Source organism: Homo sapiens, chromosome 12, assembly GCF_000001405.40.
Source record: "Homo sapiens chromosome 12, GRCh38.p14 Primary Assembly".
NCBI classification, from domain to species: Eukaryota; Metazoa; Chordata; class Mammalia; order Primates; family Hominidae; genus Homo; species Homo sapiens.
The window spans coordinates 29,908,383-29,932,711 of record NC_000012.12 but is presented as its reverse complement, the minus strand read 5'-3'; the positions used below and the strand labels follow the sequence as shown (position 1 = coordinate 29,932,711).

Below are 24,329 nucleotides of genomic sequence, written 5' to 3'. Positions count from 1 at the left end.
CTCTGCCTAGGAAAGCCAGGTATTGTCCAAGGTTTCTCCCCATGTGATAGTCTGAAATATGGCCTCGTGGGAAGGGAAAGACCTGACCGTCCCCCAGCCCGACACCCGTAAAGGGTCTGTGCTGAGGAGGATTAGTAAAAGAGGAAGGAATGCCTCTTGCAGTTGAGACAAGAGGAAGGCATCTGTCTCCTGCCTGTCCCTGGGCAATGGAATGTCTCGGTATAAAACCCGATTGTATGCTCCATCTACTGAGATAGGGAAAAACCGCCTTAGGGCTGGAGGTGGGACCTGCGGGCAGCAATACTGCTTTGTAAAGCATTGAGATGTTTATGTGTATGCATATCTAAAAGCACAGCACTTAATCCTTTACATTGTCTATGATGCAAAGACCTTTGTTCACGTGTTTGTCTGCTGACCCTCTCCCCACAATTGTCTTGTGACCCTGACACATCCCCCTCTTTGAGAAACACCCACGAATGATCAATAAATACTAAGGGAACTCAGAGGCTGGCGGGATCCTCCATATGCTGAACGCTGGTTCCCCGGGTCCCCTTATTTCTTTCTCTATACTTTGTCTCTGTGTCTTTTTCTTTCCTAAGTCTCTTGTTCCACCTTACGAGAAACACCCACAGGTGTGGAGGGGCAACCCACCCCTACACTTATGTTTTTTTTATTTTATGATGGTGAAAGTGATAAGCATTCAGTAGAAACTGTAACTCCATTTTATGTCATAAGGAGCTCTTTAACTTATTGGTTTATGTCCTGATAAGCCCATCATAAAGTCAAAAAATTAGAGTCAAATCATCCTACGTCAGGGACCATCTGTAATTGTCTTAACCTAAAACAAGAATGACTTGGGTAAATAACAGCCACTGATGATTTCAGAATATCATATTAACTAGAATGTTGGCCAGTAAACATATTTATTAAACTTCCACAAATAAAAAAAGATGTGAGGTTTGTTTGTTTGTTTGCATGACCAGACTCATCCTGAAGCTACCTAGAGGCTGCCACCTACCAGTCAACTCGTAAGCAGACAAGAACATCACTTTGGAGTTTCTTAGGGTTTTAGAAGTTGTAAGCCAGGAAACGAGTTTGAAGACCAAATATATGTTCTTTGGTGATTGACATAAATAGTGGATGGTGTGAAGTTAGACCATGGCAGGAAGAAGAAAATCAACAATTGATGGTGTAACCCACTAAAGAAGAGAGATGGTATTAATTAAAATAATTAATCATTTTTAAATTAAGGAAGCTCTGGTATTAAAAAAAAAACTTTACTGGCACACAATTTCCATTATTAATGGGCGATCAATCATAGCTCAAGCAATCACATGGTCCTGGTGAACCAGAGGAGACTCTACAGGTTATTGGAAGAAAACTTCATGGCCGAAGAATGATAAAGATCGTTTTCTTCACTTTGCAAGTTGCTCAGAAACCTAAACATTGCCCATTAACCTTTCCACTAGTTGGAAGAGACCTGCTCTTTAGGTATTAACAATTTTCAAAACTTTAAGTAGTATCGATTCCCTTTCTCAAAATAAGAAATAAAACACTACAAATCCTATTCTAATTAATGGATGATCAGCTTGCTGATTACAACGTGGTGTTAATGAAGCTAAAATTGGAATTCATTCTTCTACATTTTATTTAAGGTTGTGGTTTTCTCTATATGTCTAACAAAAGCTAGCATTTGTTTTAAATGGGATTTATATAAAAGACTGTGCATTAGCAGAATAAGTCTGTCCTTATTGATGATGATGATTCCTTGAGGTACTGCTTCCATATTGGCAACTCAGTAGAGAGAGTCATTCTCATATACAGAAGGTAGTGGCATCATTTTATTTTTTACTCTTTTCTAGATATAAGCTGAAACATCACAATAAAACATAGTTTCAGTCTACAGACAGTCCTTTTCAAATTTTTAACAGCATTTAGAAATGTATTGTTTTCAGACAAGTATGAATGCCAATTTAGTGCACTGTAAGTGACATGAAAACAGGTGAGATTATCTCCTTTGGGAGCAAGAACTATATTACAACACTGACAATATGAAGATGCTTTGCAGACTTACAGGGAGGCTGCAGCACACAGGGAACTCCTCCTGGCACTGGTGAGTGGAAGACTGCAGAAAATAAAGCTGGAAAGATGAGTACAATGTGCAATATTGGGAGGCAGTGATAAGCCTCAAAACTGGAGCCAGAATATCCATAACAGATCTATTTTATAAATATTAATGTGAAAGTAACAGCAGTATTAGATCCTTTCACCAAAACCATAGACACCAAAATTGCTTTTTTTATTTCAATTTTTCAGTTTCATGCACTTCCTTCTCATTAAATATGCAGTCAATGAACTGCTTTTCCTACAAGGGTGCTCTTCTCTTTAAACCATATGAAGTTTTCCAGCACTGCGGCTCTGCATCATGATTTAACATAGTCAACTTTTATTTAAAAGCACAAGCACTTTATCTGGGTTTTCTGGGGCATGCTTGCTTGACTAGCATGCACATGCTATGCACGTGCTGTACACATGCTTGACACACATGCACATATACACATGCATGTGAATACATACTGAACTATAAACTGTGGTACATACAGCCCTCCCTGTGAGTCACTAAATAGATGCTGAGCATTTTTGTCAGGGACGTTTTCTGAATGCTTCTATTCAGGGATGCTTTGTTTGGTAAGGTAATACCAAAGTATCTGCTAAGCCAAGGTCAGAATGGTTTTGCAGGCTCTGGTTTGGCCATGATAGGTCAGACAATAGGAACTGAAAAGATGACAAACCACATTGTGAGACTGGATCACTTGAATGTTATTGCCCCTTGTCAGCAATCTACAACAAGCGGGACAACCATGGCAAGGAAGGGAAGGGCATTGTTTAAGGCTGTTTGGATTCATGGGTAGAAAGTAGTGTGTACCTAAGTGATTCTCCAATTTGCACATTTACAAGACTGAGGTATCTTTAATATCATTAGTTGACATATTCTATTTTATAAGTGCTTTTTTCCTGGTTCCCCCTTAATTCCTTAGATTTCCATCTTAAAATTTTCTTGGCTTATGTTTGGTATAAAAATTTTATGGGTTATTATTTGAATTTGTTTTCAGCTATTTTTATTACGAGGAATACTCATATTTGTGTGCTTAATTGTTTGCCATGTTCTTCCTAATCTATAGCCCTGTATTTGCCTTGTAAAAAAGCTTATAAAAACCCTGTGGAGCAGAGGAACCACCCTGTATATTATAGTAGCTATCATCATTATCTCCATTATAAAAGTCACACAATCATTAAATTCATGAATTAGTTCAACAAAAATGTGCTGAATGCCTGTTGTGCTAGATTATCATGGGAGGTAACAGGAATAGAGTAGGATTAACAGAACAAGCAAAGGGAACTTCACTCGTCCTCATTGAAACTTACAGTCCAGATGGGTGGCAGATGTTAGACAATCACACCATCACCTATTAAAATTATGACTGTACTCAATCATGACATGAAGAACGACATAGTCTCAAAGAAATTGTACACATAATGGCCCTACGAAGGTGAGAATGGGGCCTATCTAAGGAACTGAGAATGAGGGAATAGGAACATGATGGGAGGTGCAAATATAGGGCTGAGCCACGTAGTTTGTTTATTATCCTTGGAATAGTGGAGATTGTGGTAGTTTTAAGCAGAAGAGCAACATGATCTGATTTTTGCTTTGAAGAGATCTCTGCTGGGGTGCAGTGGGTACTGGAGGCAGAGTGGGCACCTGGAACTGAGAGGCACATGGTCACGGCAAATGTCTGACCCCAAATTGTGTTTTCTTTCAGGTGTATCACATGACCTCCATGTAAAGTGATCAGGGATATCTCATTGTCACTCACTCATAGATGGAAAATTTGTGAATTTGCCAGGACCACATCATTTCTCAATGAGAAAGTCAGGAATAATGTGAGTGTTTTGATTCTCACCTCACTGCATTTACTTCACACACCATGCCAATTAATGCATAGGAATAAGAAGCATATTTTTATTTTATCAGCTCTCAACTTGTCTCAGTTTCCAAACTCTGTGGTCACTTGATGCTGTAGACCAAAGAAAAACCAAAGAAACTTAGAGTCATATATGAATTTTTTACAAAAAGGAAATCAACTAAGAGAATAGAAACTTCTTGACAAAGTTCTTGAGATATAAACAATTAGTAAAATTGAGACATTAAGTCCATGAATTAAAATTAGTACTCTATCAGCCTTAATGTAAACTGATGCAGTAAAACCTAAGATCACTCGCATGCTTGTAAAATGAAATTTCTGATTAGCAGACATAATTTACTTCTCTAAATGAGCCTCTGTTTTCTTTTTCAAGCTCCCACAACACCTCTGGATTATCTTCAGAATTACTACCTTTAACTTGGTATACACAGCATTCCACATTTTGTTCTCAAACCAGCTTCTCCTCTCCCTTCTCCTCTCCCCTCCCAATAACTCTACTCCTGCTGAAATATTACATAAATGGTTGTGGATATCTTCACATCTGTGTCCTTGGAATAGTTTCCCCAACCTTGATCTGACTCCCACTTATCCACCAAGAAACAGTTGCATCCTCCTTTCTCAGGAAGCCCTTCCTGCCCATCCCTGTTGACAATGACCTTGCTTCTCTTATGCTTTTAAAATACTTAGTGTCTATATCAATTACTTGAAAGCCATCATATATTGCATTGTCTGTAATATCCTAAACAGAACTGGAAGTTTCTTAAGAGAGGAAATGTTCCTTCTATGTTTACATTATTATGGAAAGCATCTTGTAGGTTGGTATTCAACAGCACTGAAATAAGATTCATACATGGCTCACACATTAGTATTTACAGATAAATATAAATGTTACAGAAACACCATGCCTTTTCCTTTTTCCTGCTAAAGCAACTAGGTTATTGAAGTTATTGAGGTCATAAGAATACACAGTTATGGCCAGGCACAGTGTCTCACGCCTGTAATCCCAGCACTTCAGAAGGCCAAGGGGGCCAATCACTTGAGGTCGGTAGTTCGAAACCAGCCTGGCCAACGTGGTGAAACACCATCTCCACTAAAAAATACAAAAGTTAGCCAGGCATGGTGGCACCTGCCTATAATTTCAGCTACTCAGGAGACTGGGGCAGGAGAATCGCTTGAACCTAGGAGACACAGGTTGCAGTGAGCCAACATCGCACCACTGCACTCCAGCCTGGGCAACAGAGTGAAACTCTGTCTAAAGAAAAAAAAAAAATGAATAGACAATTATATTTTGGGCAATGTTAAATTTCAAATGACCAAATTACATTACAAAATACTGAATTACTTTAAAAATGTTAGTATTATTAATAACATTATTAACAAAAAATTAGTACAGAGACGTTTGATGAAATAGATTTGAACCTGAACTCTCAACACAGAAAATCATGACAGTCTTGAAACAGAAATTATTTGAATACTTATTACCTGAAAAATACTTTTTTCAATAGCATATTTTTTCTTAATATTATTTTTAATCTACAAATTATATTTATGGGGTACATTGTGATGTTTTGATATATATATTCCATATATACAATGAGAAGTAATTAAATCAAACTGATTAACATAACTATCATCTCACTCATCATTTTTTTGTGGTGAAACATTTGGAATATCTTGGTTATTTTGAGATTTGAATAGATTATTTTTGGCTATTATCACTATGCTGTGCAATAGATCTCAAAATTTATTCCTCCTGGATGGGCATGGTGGCTGACACCTGTAATCCCAGCACCTCAGGAGGCCAAGGTGGGTCCAGGAGTTCAAGACCAGCCTGGGTCCAGGAGTTCAAGAGGTCAAGACCACCCTGGGCAACATAGTGAGACCCTGTCTCTACAAAAAATAATAATAATTTTAAAATGGCCAGGCATGGTGACATGTACCTGTAGACCCAGCTACTTGGAGACTGAGGTGGGAGAATTGTTTGAGCGTGGGAAGTCAAGGCTGCAGTGAGCCCTGATCACACCACTGCACTCCAGCCTGGGCACCAGAGCAAGACCCTGTCTCAAAAAAAAAAAAAAAAAAAAAAAAGAAAGAAGAAAATTTATTCCTTCTGTATAACTGAAATTTTGTACCCTTTGACCAACAAATCCTTGTTCCCTCCCTTCCTGCCCCCAGCCTCTGGTAAGCAGCATTCTGCTCTCTACTTCTATGAGTACAAGTTTTTTAGGTTCTGCATGTAAGTGAGATTATGCAGTATTTGTCTTCCTGTGCCCAGCTTATTTCACTTAGCATAATGTCCTCCATGTGCATCCATGTTGCAATGATAGGATTTCCCTCTTCTTTAAGGCTGAATAGTACTTCATTGCATATGTGGTGTGTGTGTGTGTGTGTGTGTGTATACAATATTTTAACAATACCACATCTGAAACATATTTTAATAATACCACATCTAAAAAATATTTTAACACCTACCTTCCTAATTGATGTTCTATAATTAACAGCATAATTTTCTTTATAAATATAAATATACATGTATATACAAATAACTAAATACATTAATACGTTGCTTTGAAAACAAATATATTAATAATTACTATATGGAGGATAAATATATAAAGAGTAGAATATTGGGCTAGTAATAATAGCTAAATTGTGCTGATCACTTACTGTGTATCAGACACTATTTTAGGACTTTTACATTTAGTCAGGCATGGTGGCTGCCTGTAGTCCCAGCTACTTGGGAGGCTGAGGTGGAAGGATCACTTGAGCCCAGGAATTCAAAACTGCAGTGAGCTCTGATTGCACCACTGTACTCCAGCCTGGGTGACAGAGTGAGACCTTGTCTCTAAAAATAAAACTAAAAGTTTGCATGCATTATTAATTTTCACAATAATCCTATAAGACATGTATTGTTGTTATCCCTATCCTAGAGATAAGTCAACTTATGGATAAGTAACTTGTCCAAGGTCACATAATAAATGGCACAACTAATATTTCAAACTAAGATTTTGTCTACTTTGCTCCCATCCTTAATAAATATTGATTAATCAAAAGATACACACTGCAAGTCTATTTTAACAGTTACAGTTAAGAGAATATTTTCTCATTATTTACTTGTTTTATATAAGACAAAAGTAAAGGAAGATTTTTGTTTATTTAATGCATTTTTACTTATTTAATACATCTGTTCAGTTGTACTTTGATAGTTAAAATAATAATAAACATTAACATGAATTTATTAATTTTAAGATGTACGATCTATATTTTAATTGATAGCAACTACTAACTTTTGTCTTTATTCTATTGAATTGATATGTTTATGGTGATCACCATGAAAATGGAAAATTGTTAGGGAGAATATTTTTACTGTAATCAGACAAAATAGGTAAAGAAAATCCATATAGACATTGTACTCAATACAATACTGATTCTTTACACAAAAAGAAAAATATAGGAAGAAGAGATGATACACATTTTAAACCTTTGAATATCTTTCATATGGCAGGAGAAACTCATTGTGTGTTACAGTAGTCTAAGTAGAAAATTTTATCTTAAAATAATGAAAGATATTCTATTAATTAAAACTCTGCCAGTGAAATAGCTTTCTGAGAAAGTAATGAACATCAGGACATGGAGATATTTAAGCACAGACTAAATAACCATGTTAGTGATATTGTTAAAGGCATGACTGCATCAAGTGTTGAGAGCTGGGTTAGACAACCACCCTTAGATTCTGTGGTAATAAGAAATTTTTACTACAAACTCCTTTTATAATGAAAACAGTGGAAAATCCCAGTTTTCTCACAGGTCAAAGCCAGTGGGAAATGATGCACTATAATAGAAATCGCCTGAATTCCCTGTAGGCATCTTCTGCCTCTTTTTGTCCACAACGTTAGCTCTGCAGGGAAATTGCACGTTTCAGTTTCATCCACTTTGCAATCAGCAACTTATGCTGTGCATGGGACTTTGGAACATAATAGGAAACAGGTCATTCGTGACCTAGTAGTGGCTGGTTCCATGATGATGATTATTGCATTCATCATTTAAACTCTTGTGTGTGAAGAGAGTGGTATTCCACAAATTTCTTGGGACCTAGTTCTGTGACATGAAAATATATGTGTTTTTAAAAGTTTATTTAGAGCTATAAAACAGTCATGGAAATAAGATCAACCACAGGCTTGGATGATCATGGGTGGGCTCCAACACATCACGGCATGAAAAGTAATTTTTATATGAGCTGTGTCTTCCTGTTTTTCTCTCCTTATATCTTTCTTCTCTCAAATAATTTAATGTTCATAGGTTATCTTCTCTTTCAGTTATTTGAAACTAAAAAAAAGAGATTTCTAAAAAATGAAATTAGTGCAGTTTGTGCTTTGCCGTGTTAACTAGATACTGAATAGCATGAACTCCTTGTTTTGTTTTGTTTTGAATGTGTCTGTGTAAGATAGGTGCTATGATTTTACTGATCATAGAGAATTGTATGTACTTATAGATAGTATCATTAAAGATCAATCAAGGTATGTTTTCTGGGAATTAAGACTCTATTCAACCACTGGTTCTTAACTGAGGGGATTTTATTGAACATTGGCAATGTTTGGAAATTTTTTAAAAAACTATTTTTATTGAAGTACAATCAACATAGAAAAAGCTGTATATATTTAATGCATACAACTTGGTTAGTTTAGAGATAAGTATATACCCATGAAACCATTGCCACAATCTGCAAGCTATCCCAGAAGCCTATTCAACTTCTAAAACTTTCCTCTTACCCTCTTATTTATTATTATTAATTTTTTCTATGATAAAGACACAACATTAGATCTACCCTCATAGCAAATTTTTGAGTATACAATACAGTGTTGTCACCTATAGACATTAAGTTATACAGTATATCTCTAGGACTTATTCATCTGTGTAACCAAAATGTTGTACTCTTTGACTAGTATCTTCCCATTTTCCACTCTCCCCAACCCCTGGCCACCATTGCATTTTCTGCTTCTAGGAGTTTTATTTCAGATTCATCATGTAAGTGGAATCATGTAGCCCTGTGTTTGGCTCATTTCACTTAGCATAGTGTCCTTCATGTTCACCCATGTTGTGGTAGATGGCAGGATTTCCTCTCTTTATGGCTGAATAACATGCCATTTTATGTATATATCACAATTTCTTCATCAGTTAATCTGTTTGCGGACATTTAGGTTGCTTCCATGTCTTGGCTACAGTGAATAATGCTGCTGTAAACATGGAGTACACACATCTCTTCAAAATCCTGAATTCAATTCCTGTGGATATATACTCAGAAGTGAGATTGCTGGATCATATAGTAGTTTTATTTTTAATTTTTTGTGGAACCTTCATACTGTTTCCCACAGTGGCTGCAGCAATTTAGATTCCTGTCAATAGCGTCTCTTTTCTCCACATTTGTGCCAAAGTGTATCTGTTGTTTTTTAAATAATAGCCATTCTAACAGATGTGAGGTAATAGTTCATGGTGGTTTTGATTTGCTTTGCATTTCCCTCATGATTATTGACGTTGAACTCCTTTTCATGTGCCTGTTATCCAGTTGTGTGTCTTCCTTGCAAAAAAAAAGTCTACTTAGTTGCTTTATCCATTTTTCATTGGATTTTTTATTTGAGGTTCTTTGCTTTTGAGTTATAGGAGTTTCTTGTATATTTTGCATATTAACATCTTATAAAATATATGGTTTTCCATTATATTTTTCCTATCCCATAGGTTGTTTTTTTATCTTGATTGTTTCTTTTTTCTGTGCAGAAGCTTTTTAATTTGATGTAATCCACTTTATTTTCTTTTGTTGCCTGTGCTTTTAGTATCATCCAAAAAATCATTGCCAAGGCTAATGTCAAGAAGCTTTTTTCCTGTTTTCTTCTAGGAGTTTTATAGTTTCTGCTGTTATGCTTAAGTTTTAAATCCATTTTTAGTTGATTTTTGTGCGTGGTGTAAGATAACCATCCAGTTTCATTCTTTTGCATGTGAATACCAATTTTCCCATATTATTTATTGAAAAGGCTAATCTTTTTCTCATCGTATATTCTTGGTATCCTTATCAAAGATTATTTGACCGTATATGTGTGTTTATTTCTGAACTCCCTATTCTGATTCATTGGTCTATACAATTGTTTTTATGCTAGTACCATATTGTTTGACTACTGTAGCTCTGTAATATATTTTGAAATCAGGGAGTGTTGTGCCTCTAGCTTTGTTCTTTTTGCTCAAAATTCCTTTGGCTATTCGAGGACTTTTGGGATTCCATATGAATCTTAGGGTTCGTTTTTTTGTTTCTGTAAAAGTGACATTGGGATTTTAGGGATGTTATTGAATCTGTAGATCACTTTGGGTGGTATGGACATTTTAACAATATTAATTTTGCAGTCCGTGAACATGGGAGGTCTTTCAAATTATTTATGTCTGCTTTAATTTCTTTGATTACTGACACAATTTTGAAAGAACAAGTCTTTTGCCTCCTTGACCAAGTTTATTCCTAAGTAAACTCCAAATATCAGTAGTGGCCAAGGTTGAGAAACCATGTGTTAGAACTTAGTGTGGCTCAGTTTTCCTCACAGCATAACCTAAATGTCAAGACTAAAGTGCTACTTCAAATAGTATGTTCCTTTTCTTTTGTATAGAATACTTTCTCTTGCTGGTAAACAAGCTTGCTTTGTTCTATAGTGAAAGCTAAACTTGATGAATCTTCTTGTTCAGAGGAACTGAAAATAGGGGGATCATATTGGTTATACCTAATAAGAGCAAAGATTCACCACAATTCCTTCATCCATCTATTCAACTGATATTTATGAAAGGTATCTTATGTCAGGTAGTCTTTGAGGTAGTGAGAATAGAGCAATAATAAAAATTCTGCCATCATGAGACTTTTATTTAGTAGAGGAGGATTTATCAATCAATATGCGTGTACATACAGACAGACATAGGCATAAAGGTGCATGAATGAATATTCATGAGAAATATAGAGCAAGGAAGGGGAATAGGGGTGCTCTTCTCTGTCGTCCCCCTTCCATAGAGGTTACAGTGTAAATTACATGATCAGGGAAGTCCTGGTGAAAAGTACATTTGAGCAAAGTCCATGAAGGTTCAAGCCATATGGTAGTCTAGGGGAAGAGCATTCCAGGCAAAGCAGACAGCAAGCACAAAGGCCCTGTGTTGAAGCTAAGTACCAGCCACATGGCTGAGACACAGCAAGTGAAAGGAAGTGATAAAAAGTGAGTCATAGATCACAGGGGCCAGATTATGAATGCAAGAGCCAGGTCATATAGGACCCAGAAGGAGACTGTAGGGACTTTGACTTTTATGCCTGGTAAGTTGAAAACCTTTAGAGGACTTTGGGTAGGACTCATATGGTTCAAATGAGCTATTCTTAGGCTTCATCCCTATCATCCTCCGTGCTCTGCAGCCTATAGCCACAAAATGTAAACCAATTAAATGGCAGGACAGAGATAAGGATATCACCCTTGTCCTACAGCTGTGATGAACACAGTGTTCCCCTGCTGACAGGGTTTACATTGTACAGAAGCTGGGCCACTCAAAACACAACAAAACAAAACACCAAGACCAGAAAGGTGAGCCACAGTGCTGGGGAAGGAGAGGATGGTGTAGGCATTAACCTGCGGCTGGCAAGCCTTGATCGAATAGAGAACATAGTGGTGCATGTGAGCAGAACCTTCATCAGACGCAATGACTTGAACCCTGATCTTAATCATAGTAAGCCTGCAGACTAGGTGCACTGCATCTGATGTGGTCCTGCTGATGCCACTAATGGATGGGAATTATTCTTACTTGACCTAATAGCTCACTGCTGGCACATTGTGCAACAAGCTGTCTTGCCCCAGCCCTCAGCTTTGCTCCTTCCCTGAAACTGGGTGAGACTTGGGATGGGCTGGCACTCTGGTAAGGGTACAAGAGGGAGTGCCACTCTGAGGAGAAGTGACGCCAAGAGATGAAATGAAGCTGCTGGGGGCATAGATTATTATTTGGTAATAAAAGGAAGTATGTTTACATTTTGAGATGGGGCTAAATACTAGATTAAAAATGTGATACCAACATTTTCCATGAACAACTGGTAGCATTAACCTGGCCATAGCATAAGCTATATTTTCTCTGCAAAAAATGTCCTATGACAGTAATAACATCTAGAAATTGAAAGATAAAAATTCCTTAGGGTTTAGGAAATTAAGATATTAAATGAAAGGTTATGAACCTATTTTTAATGGCTTCTGGTAGTACATGATGTGTGAGAGAAAATTAAAGGGAAATTGGAGAAAGTAAGTATTGCCACACTCACCTAGGTTTTGAGCGAAGGGTCAGAAGAGAGAAGCCTGGGGTGATCACAGAAGGAGATGCCAAGGCCCCAGACTGGAGCCCACAATTCAGGGAAATTTCCAGTTGATAACCAGCTATAATAGAAACATATTTTGAAAACTCTCAATTGACTGCACAATAAGTGCAAACCTTAACAAATATCAGAAAATACATGTAGGACAAAAGCAAAAATTGATAAATGGGATCTAATTAAACTAAAGAGCTTCTGTATAGGAAAAAAATTATTAATACAGTAAACAGACAACCTACATAATGGGAGAAAATATTTTCAAACTATGCATCTGACAAACGTCTAATATTCATAGGACTTTATTTGTCTATAAGGAACATAAACACATTTACAATAAAAAAACACATTAAAAAATGAGCAAAGGACATGAACACTTTTCAAAAGAAGACATACATGTGGTCAACAAGCATATGAAAAGAAACTCCACATCACTGATCATTAGAGAAATGCAAATCAAAACCACAATGAGATACCATCTCACACCAGTCAGAATAGCTGCTTTTAAAATGTCAAAAAATAACAAATGCTGGTGAGGTTGCAGAGAAAAAGGAATGCTTATACACTGTTGGGCAATGTAAATTAGTCCATCTATTGTGGAAAGCAGCGGGCAATTTCTCAAGGACCCCAAAATAGGACTACCATTCGACCCAGCAATCCCATTACTGGTATATACCCATAGGAATATAAATCATTCTATTATAAAGACACATGCACTTGTGTGTTCATTGCAGCACTACTCACAATAGCAAAGACACAGAATCAACCTAAATGCCCATCAGTGGTAGACTGGATAAAGAAAATATGGTACATATACGTCATGGAATACTATGCTGCCATAAAAAAGAATGAGATTCTGTCCTTTGAAGAAACATGGATGGAGCTGGAGGCTATTATCCTTAGCAAACTAACACAGGAACAGAAAACCGAACACAGCATATTGTCACTTATAAGTGCGAGCTAAATGATGAGAACACGTGAACAGAACGATGGGAACAACAGACACTGGGGCCTACTTGAGGGGGAGGAAAGAGGGGGGAGAGGATCAGGAAAAATAAACTAATGAGTACTAGGCTTAATACCTGAGTGACGAAATAATCTATACAACAAGCCCCCATGACATGGGCTTACCTATATAACAAACTTGCACATGTAGTTCTTAAGCTCAAATAAATTTTTAAAAAATACTCGTAGGGCAAATTTTGGGCTTGAAAATAACTAATGAAATGCAGCAGTCTCAAGTTCTCAGTTATTCAGGATTTTGTCAATCCTCATTGATAAGAGCAATCTTAAAATATCTTTGCTATTTGTGTTTGGGCACAGAGAGGGCCTGAGGATTCCACTCAACAACATGGGGAGACTCTTTGTTCATTCCTCCTTTTCACCTCCTTGACAAGTGATGCTGTGAGGAACAGACACTTTACACAGTGCCTGGGTTGTAGCAATGGCAGCAGAACACTGAGTGCTCACTGTGTGTCAGGCCCTGTGTGTCAGGCTCTTTTCATCTGGTTCCTTCTCTGGAACACAGCAAGCAGTAGTAAATGGCAGTGGTTGACTGCACGCAGTACTTCCACTCCAAGCAATACTGCTTGAATCTATGACTGAAATCTAAGGAATAGCCATTTTTCATCCATATGTGAGTTTAAGCAGAGAGTAAAGTGGAGAAAACTCATGCCTTTTGGAATAGAGAAAACCAAAAGACATGAACTCTGAGACTTTGCAGAAATTGATCCAGACGATAAGTGAGCCACAGAAGGGAGAAAATAGATTTATAGCTGGAAAAGGCCTGGAGAAAGTTAGCAGTTGGGACTAATTGGCAATGAACTAGGATCAGGCAGACCCCTAACCTGAGTTAGGGGGATTAAACAAAAGAGGTGGGGTCAACAGAGGATGAGGACAGTGTGTTAAGCAGGTTAAGAGATGGACAGATGGGGCTAGAGCCCTGTACCTTTCTTTCTGCATTAAGGTGTTCGGTAGGTATGCACTGCCACACACCTTGCAGAACTATTATGTTCTTTTCTTTTTAGAAAACTCACATTTTCACTTAACCTAGACTCTAAAAGTTACTTTACATTGAACATTGGAATAACTCCCCACTCAATGGGTATGGAAAACATGAACTATTTTGTCATCACTCTTACAGTTTCAGAAAACTATTTTCTTCCTCTCTTCCTTCCTCCCTCCCTTCCTCCTTGCTTTCTTCCTTCCTTCCAAGAATATGAATCTCTAGCCAAGACTCTGGTTGATTAGAACATGACAAAATATGTAATAGCCCATCTGTTATTCAGAAGGTTCACCTGGTGTCCTCATACCTTTCATTAGCAGAATTGAAAAAAATCTGCTCTTCTGCTGTTTAACCTTGTCCTATGACTATTTTCGCTCACATTCTCCAGCTGGTCAGGTACTTAAAACTAACAATGAGTTCTTCAAGAACATGAAATGGCAAGGATAACATTACACACAGAGGCAGCATTTTCTGTTTCCCCTGTTCCATTATGAGAGCAGTCTGATGGATCAAAATGTAATGGGTCCCTTCCCTTCCTGTTACAAGAGGACTGAGTGTCTGCAAAATATTATTATGAGAAAATCTTGCCACTGGTTTCAGATAGCAAATTAACAAAGGAAAATCTTGCCAAACTGGAATGTTTAGGAAAACAACAACTGCAGGAAATTTAAGAAAAAGATCAGACATAGCAGCACTTGTGCCCAATCCCAAGAGACAAGGATGGTGCCTCTATCAGAGCAAAAAGGGATGGGAGGGGCTGAATTCTGACCTTGTAGGAACAAAACCAATGATGAGTTTTTCTCAATCTGTGTTCAGGGTGGCATAATTTTGGACAAGTGCCCTCAACTCTGTATTGAGATATTTACATTTCCATGGAAGAATATATAAAATGCAAGAAAAGACTAAGAGGGAGGAGGGGAAATAAAGCATTTTAGTCTGATTTATGTTTGATTTAGCTCCTGGCTCACCTTTGTATGTTGCTCTGCATTTGTAAATGGGAGATATACCTCCACTCTTAGTCATTTATTTCCAAAAATGCAAAAGTTGAGAGGACTATGGAGGCAGAGTCTCTACTCTTCCTGGGGTGAGATATTTCAAAAGTGATAAATCCTCCAAGGTAAATCATTTGGTGAAGGCTATCAAAAGGAGGTTCATGTAATTCTGCAGAACCAGAAGAAGAGTGGCTATAGTTTTTATTACACCTTTGGGATGATGTGGGGGAAAGGGATGGTATTAATTGATCCAAGGGTGTATTATTTGAACCCTGTTAAGAAGTAAACTAAATACCACTCTGATGCAAGTTTTTCCATTATTCCAGTATATCAGACTCCAAGATTAAGTCCAAGTCATAGATGAATACCCTTGCCCATAGGAAATATCAAGGAGCTTGATACTGCTATTTCTTCATGAAAATATTTACAATATATGGGTTTATTGCAAGTATCACTGGAATAGTGGTTCTCCTCTAAGGTTTCAAAAGTGCTTTAAAGGTTATAAATGTTTCTTCCCCAATATATGGTTATCTTTAAGGGGAAAATAATATAATTCTACTAAAAAGTAGTATAGTTCTAAACTGTAGCTATAGTTATATCTCTGGCTTCATTCCTGATGTTTCTTTGTGCTTTCTTTGCAACTTTGTAATTATTTTGGGAGAGAACATGTACTCCTCATGAGTCTTTAAAGAACTAGCTTTGGGTTTGATCCACTCTATTGTATAATTATTTCTATTTTCAACTTCTGTTATATTTATTTCTCATTTATTTGAGTTACCTCTATTGTTCTTCTAACTTCTTGGGTTGAAGTCAGCTCATTAACTGTGGCCCCACTTAATCTCTACCACAATCAAGCTTAATTTCTCTTCCAGAAGCTTTATTATAAGGGAATGATTATTTTTTCAAATTTTATACACGAAGATGTTTATTGCAAATTGTTGATAGCGGTGAAAAGGCCTACCAATAGCAAAATTCTTCAGAATATTTGGTATTTCACTTACTACAATTGCATGTGATCTAACATGATTAGAAAGCCCATGTGACAAAGTAGGGAAAACGTTTTTAATTGTAAAGTAGAGAATATCAAATTGTGCTTACCCTTATAAAAATAATATGTGCAAATGAACAAAAATTCAAAAGAATCAGAAAAAATTAAATGATTGTATTATTACATGGATAGAAGGTTAATATGTTTTTCAAAACCATTTTTGTTATAAACTTTGGATGAATAATTTTTTTAATTTATAAATCAATTTTGTTAATATCTACTTTTGGTTTTGTTTTTTATTATTTTATTTTATTTATTTATTTATTTATTTGTTTATTTTATTATTATACTTTAAGTTCTAGGGTACATGTGCACAACGTGCAGGTTTGTTACATATGTATACATATGCCATGTTGGTGTGCTGCACCCATTAACTCATCATTTACATTGGCTATATCTCCTAATGCTATCCCTCCCCCCTCCCCCCACCCCACAACAGTCCCTAGCGTGTGATGTCCCCCTTCCTGTGTCCAAGTGTTCTCATTGTTCAATTCCCACCTATGAGTGAGAACATGCGATGTTTGGTTTTTTTGTCCTTGCCATAGTTTGCTGAGAATGATGGTTTCCAGCTTCATCCATGTCCCGACAAAGGACATGAACTCATCCTTTTTATGGCTGCATAGTATTCCATGGTGTATATGTGCAACATTTTCTTAATCCAGTCTATCATTGTTGGACATTTGGGTTGGTTCCAGGTCTTTGCTATTGTGAATAGTGCCACAATAAACATATGTGTGCATGTGTCTTTATAGCAGCATGATTTATAATCCTTTGGGTATATATGCCCAGTAATGGGATGGCTGGGTCAAATGGTATTTCTAGTTCTAGATCCCTGAGGAATCGCCATACTGTCTTCCACGATGGTTGAACCAGTTTACGGTCCCACCAACAGTGTAAAAGTGTTCCTATTTCTCCACATCCTCTCCAGCACCTGTTGTTTCCTGACTTTTTAATGATCGCCATCCTAACTGGTGTGAGATGGTATCTCATTGAGGTTTTGATTTGCATTTCTCTGATGGCCAGTGATGATGAGCATTTTTTCATGTGTCTGTTGGCTGCATAAATGTCTTCTTTTGAGAAGTGTCTGTTCATATCCTTTGCCCACTTTTTGATGGGGTTGTTTGTTTTTTTCTTGTCAATTTGTTTGAGTTCTTTGTAGATTCTGGATATTATCCCTTTGTCAGATGAGTAGATTGCAAACATTTTCTCCCATTCTGTAGGTTGCCCATTCACTCTGATGGTAGTTTCTTTTGCTGTGCAGAAGCTCTTTGGTTTAATTAGATCCCATTTGTCAATTTTGACTTTTGTTGCTATTGCTTTTGGTGTTTTAGACATGAAGTCCTTGCCCATGCCTATGTCCTGAATGGTAATGCCTAGGTTTTCTTCTAGGGTTTTTATGGTTTTAGGTCTAACATTTAAGTCTCTAATCTATCATGAATTAATTTTTATATAAGTTGTAAGGAAGGGATGCAGTTTCAGCTTTCTACATATGACTAGCCAGTTTTCCCAGCACCATTTGTTAAATAGGGAATCCTTTCCCCATTTCTTGTTTTTGTCAGGTTTGTCAAAGATCAGATGGTTGTAGATGTGTGGTATTATTTCTGAGGGCTCTGTTCTGTTCCATTGGTCTATATCTCTGTTTTGGTACCAGTACCATGCTGTTTTGGTTACTGTAGCCTTGTAGTATAGTTTGAAGTCAGGTAGCATGATGCCTCCAGCTTTCTTCTTTGGGCTTAGGATTGACTTGGCAATGCAGACTCTTTTTTGGTTCCATAGGAACTTTAAAGTAGTTTTTTCCAATTCTGTGAGGAAAGTCATCGGCAGCTTGATGGGGATGGCATTGAATCTATAAATTACCTTGGGCAGTATGGCCATTTTCACCATATTGATTCTTCCGATCCATGAGCATGGAATATAATTCCATTTATTTGTATCCTCTTTTATTTTGTTGAGCAGTGGTTTGTAGTTCTCCTTGAAGAGGTCTTTCACATCCCTTGTAAGTTGGATTCCTAGGTATTTTATTCTCTTTGAAGCAATTGTGAATGGGAGTTCAGTCATGGTTTGGCTCTCTGTTTGTCTGTTGTTGGTGTATAAGAATGCTTGTGATTTTTGCACATCGATTTTGTATCCTGAGACTTTGCTGAAGTTGCTTATCAGCTTAAGGAGATTTTGGGCTGAGATGATGGGGTTTTCTAGATATACAATCATGTCATCTGCAAACAGGGACAATTTGACTTCCTCTTTTCCTAATTGAATACCCTTTATTTCTTTCTCCTGCCTGATTGCCCTGGCCAGAACTTCCAACACTATGTTGAATAGGAGTGGTGAGAGAGGGCATCCCTGTCTTGTGCCAGTTTTCAAAGGGAATGCTTCCAGTTTTTGCCCATTCAGTATGATATTGGCTGTGGGTTTGTCATAAATAGCTCTTATTATTTTGAGATACATCCCATCAATACCTAATTTATTGAGAGTTTTTAGCATGAAGGGCTGTTGAATTTTGTCAAAGGCCTTTTCTGCATCTATTGAGATAATCATGTGGTTTTTGTTGTTGGTTCTGTTTATATGCTGGATTACGTTTATTGATTTGCATATGTTGAACCAGCCTTGCATCTCAGGGATGAAGCCCACTTGATCATGGTGGATAAGCTTTTTGATGTGCTGCTGGATTCGGTTTGCCAGTATTTTATTGAGGATTTTTGCATCGATGTTCATCAGGGATATTGGTCTAAAATTCTCTTTTTCTGTTGTGTCTCTCTCAGGCTTTGGTATCAGGATGATGCTGGCCTCATAAAATGAGTTAGGGAGGATTCCCTCTTTTTCTATTGATTGGAATAGTTTCAGAAGGAATGGTACCAGCTCCTCCTTGTATCTCTGGTAGAATTCGGCTGTGAATCCATCTGGTCCTGGACTGTTTTTGGTTGGTAAGCTATTAATTATTGCCTCAATTTCAGAGCCTGTTATTGGTCTATTCAGAGATTCAGCTTCTTCCTGGTTTAGTCTTGGGAGGGTGTACGTGTCAAGGAATTTATCCATTTCTTCTAGATTTTCTAGTTTATTTGCGTAGAGGTGTTTATAGTATTCTCTGATGGTAGTTTGTATTTCTGTGGGATCAGTGGTAATATCCCCTTTATCATTTTTTATTGAGCCTATTTGATTCTTCTCTCTTTTGTTCTTTATTAGTCTTGCTAGTGGTCTATCAATTTTGTTGATCTTTTCAGAAAACCAGCTCCTGGATTCATTGATTTTTTGAAGGGTTTTTTTGTGTCTCTATCTCCTTCAGCTCTGCTCTGATCTTAGTTATTTCTTGCCTTCTGCTAGCTTTTGAATGTATTTGCTCTGGCTTTTCTAGTTCTTTTAATTGTGATGTTAGGGTGTCAATTTTGGATCTTTCCTGCTTTCTCTTGTGGGCATTTAGTGCTATAAATTTCCCTCTACACACTGCTTTGAATGTGTCCCAGAGATTCTGGTATGTTGTGTCTTTGTTCTCGTTGGTTTCAAAGAACATCTTTATTTCTGCCTTCATTTCATTATTTACCCAGTAGTCATTCAGGAGCAGGTCGTTCAGTTTCCATGTAGTTGAGTGGTTTTGAGTGAGTTTCTTAATCCTGAGTTCTAGTTTGATTGCACCGTGGTCTGAGAGACAGTTTGTTATAATTTCTGCCCTTTAATGTTTGCTGAGGAGTGCTTTACTTCCAACTATGTGGTCAAATTTGGAGTAAGTGCAGTGTGGTGCTGAGAAGAATGTATATTCTGTTGATTTGGGGTGGAGAGTTCTGTAGATGTCTATTAGGTCTGCTTGGTGCAGAGCTGAGTTCAATTCCTGGATATCCTTGTTAACTTTCTGTCTCGTTGATCTGTCTAATGTTGACAGTGGGGTGTTAAAGTCTCCCATTATTATTGTGTGGGAGTCTAAGTCTCTTTGTAGGTCTCTAAGGACTTGCTTTATGAATCTGGGTGCTCCTGTATTGGGTGCATATATATTTAAGACAGTTAGCTCTTCTTGTTGAATTGATCCCTTTATCATTATGTAATGGCCTTCTTTGTCTCTTTTGATCTTTATTGGTTTAGTCTGTTTTATCAGAGACTAGGATTGCAACCCCTGCCTCTTTTTGTTTTCCATTTGCTTGGTAGATCTTCCTCCATCTCTTTATTTTGAGCCAATGTGTGTCTCTGCATGTGAGATGGGTCTCCTGAATACAGCACACTGATGGATCTTGACTCTTTATCCAATTTGCCAGTCTGTGTCTTTTAATTGGAGCATTTAGCCCACTCACATTTAAGGTTAATATTGTTATGTGTGAATTTGATCCTGTCATTAAGATGTTAGCTGGTTATTTTGCTCATTAGTTGATACAGTTTCTTCCTAGCATCGATGGTCTTTATAATTTGGCATGTTTTTGCAGTGGCTGGTACCAGTTGTTCCTTTCCATGTTTAGTGCTTCCTTCAGGAGCTCTTGTAGGGCAGTCCTGGTGGTGACAGAATCTCTCAGCATTTGCTTGTCTGTAAAGTATTTTATTTCTCCTTCACTTATGAAGCTTAGTTTGGCTGGATATGAAATTCTGGGTTGAAAATTCTTTCCTTTAAGAATGTTGAATATTGATCCCCAGTCTCTTCTTGCTTGTAGAGTTTCTGCCGAGAGATCATCTGTTAGTCTGATGGGCTTCCCTTTGTGGGTAACCCGACCTTTCTCTCTGGCTGCCCTTAACAGTTTTTCCTTCATTTCTACTTTGGTGAATCTGACAATTATGTGTCTTGGAGTTGCTCTTCTCAAGGAGTATCTGTGTGGCATTCTCTGTATTTCCTGAATTTGGATATCAGCCTGCCTTGCTACGTTGGGGACGTTCTCCTGGATAATATCCTGCAGAGTGTTTTCTAACTTGGTTCCATGCTCCCTATCACTTTCAGGTACACCAATCAGATGTAGATTTGGTCTTTTCACATAGTCCCATATTTCTTGGAGGCTTTGTTAGTTTCTTTTTATTCTTTTTTCTCTGAACTTGTCTTCTCACTTCATTTCATTCATTTGATCTTCCATCACTGATACCCTTTCTTCCAGTCGATCGAATTGGCTACTGAAGGTTGTGCATTCGTCATGTAGTTCTCGTGCCATGGTTTTCAGCTCCATCAAGTCCTTTAAGGACTACTCTGCATTGATTATTCTAGTTAGCCATTCATCTAATCTTTTTTCAAGGTTTTTAACTTCTTTGCGTTGGGTTCGAACTTCCTCCTTTAGCTCAGAGAAGTTTGATCGTCTGTAGCCTTCTTTTCTCAACTTGTCAACGTCATGCTCCGTCCAGCTTTGTTCCTTTGCTGGTGAGGAGCTGCATTCCTTTGGAGGAGGAGAGGCACTCTGATTTTTAGAATTTTCAGTTTTTCTGCTCTGTTTTTTCCCCATCTTTGTGGTTTTATCTACCTTTGGTCTTTGATGATGGTGACGTACAGATGAGATTTTGGTGTGGATGTCCTTTCTGTTTGTTAGTTTTCCTTCTAACAGTCAGGACCCCCAGCTGCAGGTCTGTTGGAGTTTGCTGGAGGTCCACCCCAGCCCCTCTTTGCCTGGGTATCAGCAGTGGAGGCTGCAGAACAGTGAATATTGGTGAACAGCAAATGTTGCTGCCTGATCGTTCCTCTGGAAGTTTCATCTCAGAGGGGTACCCAGCTGTGAGAGGTGTCAGTCTGCCCCTACTGGGGGCTGCCTCCCAGTTAGGCTACTCGGGGGTCAGGGACCCACTTGAGGAGGCAGTCTGTCCGTTCTCAGATCTCAAGCTCCATGCTGGGAGAACCACTACTCTCTTCCAAGCTGTCAGACAGGGACAGTTAAGTCTGCAGAGGTTTCTGCTGCCTTCTGTTTGGCTATGCCCTGCCCCCAGAGGTGGAGTCTACAGAGGCAGGGAGGCCTCCTTGAGCTGCGGTGGGCTCCACCCAGTTCGAGTTTCCCGGCCACTTTGTTTACCTACTCAAGCCTCAGCAATGGGGGTGCCCCTTCCCCAGCCTCGCTGCTGCATTGCAGTTTGATCTCAGACTGCTGTGCTAGCAATGAGCAAGGCTTCGTGGGTGGAGGACCCTCCTAGCCATGTGTGGGATATAATCTCCTGGTGTGCCGTTTGCTAAGACCATCAGAAAAGCACAGTATTAGGGTGGGAGTGACCCGATTTTCCAGGTGCCATTTGTCCCCCCTTCTCTTGGCTAGGAAAGGGAATTCCCTGACCCCTTGCACTTCCTGGGTGAGGCAATGCCTCTCCCTGCTTCGGCTCACGCTCGGTGCACTGCACCCACTGTCTGACAATCCCCAGTGACATGAACCTGGTACCTCAGTTGGAAATGCAGAAATCAACCTTCTTCTGTGTCGCTCATGCTGGGAGCTGTAGACTGGAGCTGTTTCTATTCAGCCATCTTGGACAAGAAAAAGAATAATTTTCAAATATATGTGAGGTTTCTTGCCTTCAAGAGGAAATGTCAGTTGTCAGGACAATTAACTGAAATAGTCTATTTTTTACTTCAAAGTTGGAGTAGTGGACTATTGTTGTTCATGTGCGTGGGATTAGACAGGGAAGATAAATTGACTTTATTTTGACCTTCCTCCTTTGAGTTGGCAAGATAAATGTGCAAAACAAGCAAACTGTCATACCTGTAGCTAAGAATATGTGAAATAATTGCTTGGATTTGTATCAAACACTACACCTTGACAACAGCGACTATACCTCTTCATTGTTGGAGTTTCAGATGTGGGAATGGAAAAAACTAGAATGAACCCTGTGAGGGGCCTGAGAACGTGATACCTAAAACCATGTTCATTGCTCAGGAGTCATTGTTCTAAGCCCTTCCAATTCTGTGGGCTTAGCTTAAATTGTTTCTCCATAAAGCTTTCTTGGAGAATCCCTTTCCAATAAATTTTTCTCCTTGGAACTGGTTGTCCTTGCTGCCTTTATGAGTTACTTGGGAAAAATCACCTGCTACCACTCACTTTAGAATCACCATCTGTTCATTATTTATTGCTATAAAATTTGACTCTCATTCCAAGTCCTCTATTGGAATTATTTTCTTAGAAATTTTCATAATCATTCAATTCAACACTGTTTTTCTCAGACTTTGATCTCTAACTCTAATCCCTCCCAAAGCTCCCTGTAGAAGTGGCTGATTCCAGGCTGGGGAAAGGTAGGTATAAAATGGACCTGGAACATTTTGTTATGCCAGAAAGTAGATAAATGTTCGATAAATTGATGGGAGATGTCACAAGAATAAAGGATCTAGCTTGAAGGGGCTTTCAGTGTCCAAATTTGGAACACCAAATAATTTGAACACCAAAATAATTAGGCATAGTGATATATTAAAACTATTGAAAAAATAAGAATTTATGAGTCCATACTGATGATAGAATGAGAGACAGAAAGAGAAAGGACTAGGGGAAGGAGGAACAGAAGAAGGGAGGAGGAGTAGAAGGAGGTATTCTTGCTCACAATAGACTGCCATATGTCAATAGTAAATATGGCGATAGTGCTAGAGTTGGAAAATCATTACTCTGCAACCATCATAGTAAAGCTTGGATCAGACAAGGGTTACAAATGGATGTTAAACCTATGGAAATTTGTTATAATGAGTGGAATATTTGCATAATCTTAAAGTGTCTCTCCATAGACTTCTTGTTAATTGCAAGAAAAGGAAAAAAGTAATTCTATATTGGAGATATCCAGCAGACAGCTTGATGGATGATCAGGTTTACATCACCAATACGGGAAAGATAGACATCATGTACCTCTTATTAAATGTGATACCCTGAGAAGGTCATGGCATAAAATCACCTATATGGTTTTCTGACCAAGGGAAGATAAGTGAATATATGGATATATGTATATAATCTTTATACACTTATGTTATTTTTGAACCTGAATTGTTGAAATGTGATTACTGACTCAAATGCTTGCTAGTTTTAATGATAGTACA

At 38.0% G+C, this 24,329-nt stretch overlaps 1 long non-coding RNA gene across 3 annotated transcripts in view; it reads left to right on the top strand.

The window, feature by feature from the left end:
* Positions 1 to 24,329, top strand: part of LOC105369715 (uncharacterized) — a 182,759-nt gene that overhangs the window by 118,785 nt on the left and 39,645 nt on the right. Inside the window, exon 5 of one of the 3 annotated variants that reach the window (XR_001749061.1) lies at positions 3,822 to 3,929. The exons of the other annotated variants lie outside the window; for them this stretch is intronic. This is a non-coding gene — a long non-coding RNA (uncharacterized LOC105369715). Of the gene's footprint in view, positions 1 to 3,821; positions 3,930 to 24,329 lie in introns of those variants that run through there. 3 annotated transcript variants of the gene reach the window in all.